This window comes from Homo sapiens, chromosome 6, assembly GCF_000001405.40.
Source record: "Homo sapiens chromosome 6, GRCh38.p14 Primary Assembly".
Taxonomy (NCBI): domain Eukaryota; kingdom Metazoa; phylum Chordata; class Mammalia; order Primates; family Hominidae; genus Homo; species Homo sapiens.
Window position 1 is genome coordinate 169,066,604 of NC_000006.12, and position 8,343 is coordinate 169,074,946.

Sequence of the window (8,343 nt, forward strand, 5' to 3'; positions counted from 1 at the left end):
GATTCCATGTCAATTTCTGTTTTCAAAACTTCATGTGAAATTCATAATTCTCTCGCATACAACCCAACACAATGCAGGGTGAATTGCAAAAGCAAATTTCCTTTTGACTTGTTTTGGTTAGTGTTATAGCTTCTCAAATGCTGAAATAACAGTTGAAGTATCTCTCCATTCTGGTATTTTCAGTAAAATGAGCATTTATTAGTCAGGAAGTCTCCTAGATAGTCACATCTTCTGATGCCGATGTAGTAAGAAAATTTTATGTTTGCATTATCTGGATCTAAGATGTGTAATGGAAGAAAAAAATTCGTATTTAAAGCAGTGCTTATTTTATCAGTATTTCCATCATCTCAAAGTTTTGGTTTAATACTAGGCACCTAGAAAACGCTTTAAGATGACCTTTCACATTTTTGTATCTTCCCTGATCACATGGCGTAAAAGGCATAACTGGCACAGGAAGAGAGCAGACGTGGGGCCTGGTCAGTGCTGATTATCAGCAAGTGCAATGTTATTAGGACATGGCCAGTCTAAGACGAAGAAACTGGTTGATATTTATTCAATAACTTTTATTTGGGTATGTGCTGTGTGCGTGGCTCCCTTGCAAGTCCTTGTCTCCTAATATGGAGTTTAAGGCAGTAACATTTCATTTTAAAATGTAGAATGAATTTCTAGTATAAAATTTAACCATGGAATGCCATCAAATATATGCACCCCCCCCCCCCCCCCCACACACACACACACAGGAGTGGTTACGGATCGAATCTCTGCACTGTTCCGGTGTCAGGACAAAGTGGGACACAGCATGAAGCCTGTGCGCTTAATTGCCATCTGCTTCATAAATGAACGAACAAAGGAATCTATGAGCGTGTTAGCAAAAGTATTTTTCCAAGTGATGTTAATGTGGCATCTGTTGCCAACAAATATTTTGCATATGATACAATCTATGCAATCACAATGGGAGGGATCAAGAGGAGCCAATCACAATGGGAGGGATCAAGAGGAGCCAATCACAATGGGAGGGATCAAGAGGAGCCAATCACAATGGGAGGGATCAAGAGGAGCCAATCACAATGGGAGGGATCAAGAGGAGCCAATCACAATGGGTGGGATCAAGAGGAGCCAATCACAATGAGAGGGATAAAGAGGAGCCAATCACAATGGGCGGGATAAAGAGAAGCAGACATGGAGCCCTGCAAACTTGGCCTAAACATTGCTCTCGGTGTTCTAGCATCATAATGTGACTTTTCTTTTTAACCACAGTTTGTTGTTAATTTATAAAGTTACACTAACTTCCACCTCCGATACAGAGCTTCTAAAAGAATCAAAGTATAAAATATATGTGGTTGTAAAAAAGTGCCTTGTAAATTCTAAAGCACTAGAGAGTAAGTCATATTCTCTCTCTCTCTTTTTTTTTTATGACTGCTAGAGGTCTTCGTTGGTACCGAGTTGCTATTGCTCTGAAATCTTTCAATGGAGTATGTTAAAACATACATTAGAATATAGAAATATAAAAACATACATTAGAATATAGAAATACAGAAACAGATTCCTTTGCTCAATTTGGTTCACATATGAGATTTCTGTTCTTTCATTAAAAGCTCATTTCCTACACAAAATTAACATAATTACTTATATTTTTATCCTACAATGATATTCTGAATTGATTTTGCAAAATACTTAAGACCTGTCTTCTACCTTGGTAAGTAAAAAAAAAAAAAGTTTGTATTGTTTCAGCATAATCTGTAGGTATCTACGCAAAACCTACTCACGAGGCTAACTTCAGAAGGCTCATTTTCACCTCCCTATAAATCTGATTTCCTTTGTCCACTGACTCAGGCAGTTCCAACCCCCATTTTATAAGACACTTTCACCAAAGAACCAAAATGTCAGACCAAGTAAACAGCACCACGGATCACTTGCTTGTCATAAACGCAGCCAAAATGGCATTGCTGCTACAATGGCTATTTAAATCTGCTGTTTTTCTTCCCTAGATAAATCTAGAAAAATCACCATGTTCTTTGAGGGAAGCTGAGAGGGAAAACCAAAAAAGTACAAAACCAGATTCAGAAGAGAAAGGAAAGATTATCTTGAGTGAGGTTGTCCTCCAAAGACAACTCTTGGCAGAGGCTGGTGGTACGGGGAGACGTCAAAGCCTCCATGTTCAGGCGTCCAGGGTCCCAGCCTCTAAAACGGCTTCTGCCATCCATGGCCGCCAGACATTATTTTTGACTAAATTCCATACTTTTTTATCTGAATTGGCTTTTGCACATGAGACAGGCAAAGGGTTTAAAAATAGTTACACCATAGTCCATTGACTTCTCATTTTTATCACTTACACGGATAAGTCATTTTTAAAAATCAAGGGTATCTTTTTGATGTGCACCTAGCATTTGCGTGAGGGTGGTGTGTTAACACTGGAAAATAGGGCTAATTCAGACTTCCTTGTTACCGGGCCCCAGTTTTTAAGTGATCTGGAAGTCCTGAGTGGATTGTGTATCCACTGAGCTACTGCCCATTGTCTGGTAGTTCTCAGAGGACCGTGCAGAAACTGATAGGAAGTGAAATACTATTTGTGTTCGCTTGTGTAGGTGAATACATCTCCAGGATGAGGCCACCCATTTTGGCTTCCACTAACCCGGAGGAACCTGGAGCAAGGAAACCAAAGGAAGTATTCAGGAAGCTTCAGATTTGACTGCTGGCATTATAGGCAAGAATTACACACACATGACTTACTGTTCACTATTGGTGAGAACTCGTGTTCTCATTTCGGGCAATGTTTAGAATGAAGCTCCATTAAACATGCTTGCTCCGAGGAATATCCTTAGAACGGCCATGCTTCTTATTGTGATTGTTATGTTATTTTAAGGTAATTCTTGCCTTTTGGCTGGTTGATTGCATTCTTTAGTTTGAGGCTATGCTTCTGACCTCATTACTCCAATGTCCATCTGCGTCAGCGTCACCTTGACAACAAGAGCAGGGGATGCGTCTTGCATGAGTGGGTGGCCAAAGAGACAAACCTCTGGCTTTCTGGGAGCTCCTAGCGTTCTCCTTGAAACCCTTAACACATATGTGTTTTCTCTGCTCTACATTAGATCTCTAGACTTATCCTACAAAGCTGAAACTGTACTGTTTGACCTACAACCTCCCATTTCCCAGGTGTTCATTCCTGCTCCTTACACTGGTAATTTGCCAAGAGAGTAAATTTTAGGTTACCTTACTGTGATGGTTAATACTGAGTGTCAACTTGATTGGATTGAAGGATACAAAGTATTGATCCTGGGTTTGTCTGTGAGGGTGTTGCCAAGGGAGATCCACATTTGAGTCAGTTGTCTGGGAAAGGCAGACCCACCCTTAATCTGAGTGGGCACCATCTAATCAGCTGCCAGTGAATATAAAGCAGGCAGAAAAACTTGAAACGAGAGGCTGGCCTAGCCTCCCAGCCTACATCTTTCTCCTGTGCTGGATGCTTCTTGCCCTTGAACATCAGAATCCAAATTCTTCATTTTTGGAACTTGGCCTGGCTCTCCTTGCTCCTCAGCCTGCAGACCGCCTATTGTGGGACCCTGTGATTGGGTGAGTTAATACTTAATAAACTCCTCTTTTACATATACATCTATTGCATTAGCTCTGTACCTCTAGAGAACCCTGACTGATACACTTACCATGCCCGCACACACACAGCAACTGTGTGAAATGATGTCCGCATTAATTGGCTTGACTGTAGTCCTTGCTTCCCTATGAGTGTGCATGACCAGATCACTGGATCCAAACAGCGTGTCACACACCTTAAATACATGCAATACAGTAAATTAAAACTATGACGTTCCCATGTGTTCTTAGCATGATGAAAAAGAAATGCCAGATTCACAGTGTGTTTTCTGGGGAGAGCAAAGAGGGGAAATTTATGTGCCAAACTGGAGTCCCTTAAAAGAAAATGAATTTCAGATATTTCAGCCTGCTCTCACCAGGAGGGGTTCTCTGCTAATAATTGTGAAGGAACGCGATAGTCAGAGGCACAGAGGGCCTGAGTGCAGCTTTAATAACTTTGGACAGGACCTGGGTCCTGAGCGTGAGTCACGCTGAGGTCGCTGTGAACGGCTGAGCCCTGGGCTGTGAGTCAGCCCCTCGAGGCGCATGATACAGCTTCAGGCTCCACCAACAGTAGGTGCTTAGAGACTCATGGGCTGCTGGGTTATGACCGAATGAATCAGCCTGAGGGAGAAGATGGTTTTACGACAGAAAGTGGGACTGTGGTGCCAATTTTCTGTTTGAGTTTTGTGTGTCTACACAGTTTGACAAAAATGGCATTTTATTTAAGCATTGTGCACATTTCTTAGAGAATCCGAGGTGACCTATCTTGAGAAAAGGAATTCAAGCTGGACCGACCACAGACCTCGTGCTAAGCATTGGAATCATTGCCCTGCCAGATAGCATTTCAACATCTATTTCCATCCTTCTTCACAATATTACTTTTAACTGATGTCAAAATAAACAAGCCTAGGAATATCCAAGCAATTTGTTCTCAGAGCGCCTGGTGTCCAGTTCAGTGCCTGGACTGAGTCAATAGCACTGTGAGTGATAACATTCTTTATACTGTTAACCAAAAAAAAAGATAGGTTCCATGATTTTTTGTGCCCCACGTATTAATACATGGTTGTAGCAATTATTTTCATGCACAAGGACTGTGCACCTACCTGTGTTTTTGATTCTGCATTAAGGAACCATTCATATCAAATGTTATAAACCAGGGAGCTGGGTTTATAGTTAACATACACACATGCACACAAAATAACTGTCAACATTTAAGCAAGTTGCTTACAGATTAAAACTATGTTGACAATAATCGCAAATAGAGTACTATTGACACCTCAGAAGGACTTCTGTTGCCCTCCTCACCCTCCCTCCCTTCCTTCCAGAAGGTGACCCCTAATCTGAGGGCCAACGCTGCAAAGCGGCTCTGTCTGTTTCAAAGCTGAGCACACGTGGTGTCACGTGACACATGGTCTTTTGCGTCTGACCCCTTCTAGTCTGCATGATGTTTGTGGCATTCATCCATGTCCTATGCAGTAGAGAAGATGCCATTCCTGTAAAGTAACTCATTGTAAAAAGAGACACCGTTACTTATTGATACATGCTACTGCTGATAGACATTTGATGTGTTCTCAGTTTGAGGTCATAATGAATAAGACTTCTGTGAACATACTTGATATGGCTTGGCTCTGTGTCCCCACCCAAATCTCATCTCAAATTGTGATCCCCATGTATCGAGGGTGGGACCTGGTAGGAGGTGATTGGATCGTGGGTGCGGTTTCCCCCAGGCTGTTGTGATAGTGAGGAAGTCTCATGAGAGCTGATGGTTTAAAGGTGGCGCTCCTCACTTGGTTCTTGGTTCTCTCTCTCTCCTGCTGCCTTGTGACGAAGGTATTTGCTTCTCCTTCACCTTCCTCCATGATTGTAAGTTTCCTGAGGCCTCCCCAGCCATGCTGAACTGTGAGTCAATTAAACCTCTTTCCTCTATAAATGACCCAGTTTCAGGCAGTTCCTTACAGCAGTGTGAAAATGGATGAATACAACACCGTGTGCTTCCTTGGTGCTCATATGCACGTTTATGATGTCTGATGTCGCGGCAATGAATATGTCTTCACAGGACGCCAGCTGCAACCATCTGCAATCCACTGCTGCCTTAGTGTGAAGGCTGCACTGCCTGGGAGCTGTTCCTCAGCAACATTCACGTGGATAGGAAGGCTTAGCGGAGCCCGTCCTTGGGGAGGCGCTGGGCTTCTCTGACCGCTGGCTTTGGCCTTGGGGCTCTGCAGCAGCAGTGGCAGTCTCTCAGTCTACAAAGAGGTCCAAGATGCATCCTCCCAGCCTCCTTTCTCTCTGTCCTCCTCTGGGGTAGAACTCGAGTCCCAGCCTGGCCACTCTCCCACATTGTTTCCCTTGCACAGGCATTCCTCCTTGTAAAATCCTCACCCAGTTAATGTCAGTGTGGCCTCTGCTCCCCGGAGCCCCGGACCACCCAGGGTCCTGCCCAGATCCTCTTAGATTCCATGCACAGCGTGCGTCTGTGGGTTTGCTGCTTGGGGTCCACACCACAGACCTCATGAGAGTATCCAGAGGCTGTGGAACAGGGTGTCCCATCGGGAGGGAGGAGTGCTTAGGAATCCAAAGCCCCAGATGAGTCTGTGGCCTGGGAGTGACCGGGCAAAAGCCCCTTGCACTCGCCTCAAGGCAGGACATATCCCGAGACGCAGTTTCTACTTCAGTGCCCTTTGACAGATCCGGCTGAGGCTGGGACTTCACCTGAAATCCAAGGTTTGAAGAGAATGGCAGGAGTTTGAAGTTGTTCCTGAGAATTAGGGAGCGAATTTTGACCAGGGAATCACAGCTAGGGAGAGGCCAGAGCTAAGGACCCACTTGGCGCTGTAACTGGGGGCATCCCGAGAGCCGCACTCACCCGAATTGAACCAAACGCATCAGGACCACAGTGTGTCTACATTTCAAAAGTACCTTATTCTTATTGACACAGCAGATTTGTACACAAGAATAAACAATATGAACCAACACTTTATGGTTTTTATTTAAAAGTGTGCCTTTGAGAAGTGATGAAAAAGCAGAATTTTCTGGAGAAAAACTTGGGAATCAGATGATGAAATCACTTTCCAAAATATGACTTTACATTAGAATGTCTGCTAGAGAAGCCTGGAATCTGGATAAGACCAACAACAGGAGGCTGCAGCTCCTACACCAGCCCCACCCTGATGTTCTGGGTGGCCTGGAGCAAGGAATGGGATTCCTGGGTTTCCTGACTCCACATCCTGAGAGGCTGCACCAGCCCCAGAGCAGCCCAGTTGAACGGACGGAGCAGCAGGGCTGGGGTCAAGTGGAATGCTCCCAACCCCTGCTAGGAATGCTGACCATCACCATGGGTCTTCATAAATACCCTGTGGCTATAGAAGTATTTGGGAATTCACCAAGATATCCCAGCTGCCTCTCCTACAGAATTCTTCATCTTGACCCTAGATAATTACTGCATTGCAAATTCAGAAAACTATGTGACCAGCTTCATGCCAGAGAGCCACTCGGGGCTGTGAAAGAGTTTAGCCATGACACACAGTGCATTGCAGGAGAACGGCCTTCTCTGTGTAATGAGACCCCTACGGCTGCAAACCTCGGTGCTTTCATTACAGTTCCATCTTAGCAAAATTATTTCACTCCTTGAAGCCTCAGTTCCCATATGTGTAAAATGGGGAAATAGCTCAACCTCCCAGGAGCACAGGCAGGTATTCCAAAGACATGGACAATTACTAGTGTAAACTGGGATCCATTTCTTGAAAGTAAGCATTTTGATAAGAGAGAAAAATAAAGTATATTTTTAAAGGCCAAAATAGTTTGTTTTGTTTTGTTTTGTTTCTTTGAGATGGAGTCTCACTCTGTCACCCAGGCTGGATGGAGTGCAGTGGCACGATCTCGGCTCACTGCAACCTCCACCTCCCGGGTTCAAGCAATTCTCCTGTCTCAACCTCTCGAGTAGCTGGGACTACAGGTGCACACCACCACCCCCAGCTAATTTTCATATTTTCAGTAGAGACAAGGTTTCACCTTATTGGTCAGGCTGGTATCGAACTCCTGACCTTAGGTGATCCCCCCCGCCTCTGCCTCCCAAGGTGCTGGGATTACAGGTGTGAGCCACTGTGCCCGGCCAAGATTTTTAAAAGTCTATGTGATGATATTGGCAGATCACATAACATACCATTAAGTATAGTTTGCTGAAAAAAAAAAATGCTTTGGAATCTGATACACGTTAGTTGCAATTCCTGTCTGTCACTCATGGACATATACATCTTCATCAAATAAATGTTTATTGCTTTCCTACCAAGCTTTTGCCCCAAATTCTTAATACATACAATTGAATTCCTTTCCTAAAATGGATATCATGATTCCCACTCTGAGGACTAACTGTGATTAGAAATGAATGGCCCTGACCGGAGCGTCTTACAGAATGTTGGCCTCACAGGGACCCCCTGGCTTCTTTTTATCATATCCCTCTAGTCCCCTGGAACTGCTGTAAATAAGCCATGTGGATTTATCATTTCTGCTTGAGGGAAAGTTTGTCTTGGCATATTTGGAAAAAATAAACAAACTAAAGATATTGGGCAGCTTGAGAATAAGCCAGGGGCTGCCCTATGCTACAAGTCTTCAGAAATGAGTCGGGATGATACTTCAACCCCACTTGGATCAAAGACTTGGAAATGAGGAAAGGAAAATCATACCTAAGGTCACTTCCGAAGGTCAGAGGATATCTGAAGGCATGTGAGGATGTGAGGAAGGCTCTGGATTTACTGT

The 8,343-nt window shown here is 43.9% G+C and overlaps 1 long non-coding RNA gene across 1 annotated transcript, besides 1 other annotated feature; it reads left to right on the forward strand.

Annotated features, from left to right (window-relative positions):
• The first annotated feature begins 1,182 nt into the window (after window positions 1-1,182).
• Window positions 1,183-2,821, forward strand: LOC102724357 (uncharacterized). The gene is made up of 2 exons (NR_134619.1): window positions 1,183-1,379; window positions 2,586-2,821. It is a non-coding gene; the product is annotated as an uncharacterized LOC102724357 (long non-coding RNA).
• Window positions 3,211-4,410: an enhancer, noted in NCBI's record as "CDK7 strongly-dependent group 2 enhancer chr6:169469909-169471108 (GRCh37/hg19 assembly coordinates)". NCBI's record gives its function as "activates an origin of replication core promoter dependent on BRD2, BRD4, P300/CBP, MED14 and CDK7 cofactors, with strong dependence on CDK7, by STARR-seq in HCT116 cells {active_cell/tissue: HCT116}" and the evidence as "EXISTENCE:reporter gene assay evidence [ECO:0000049][PMID:35650434]".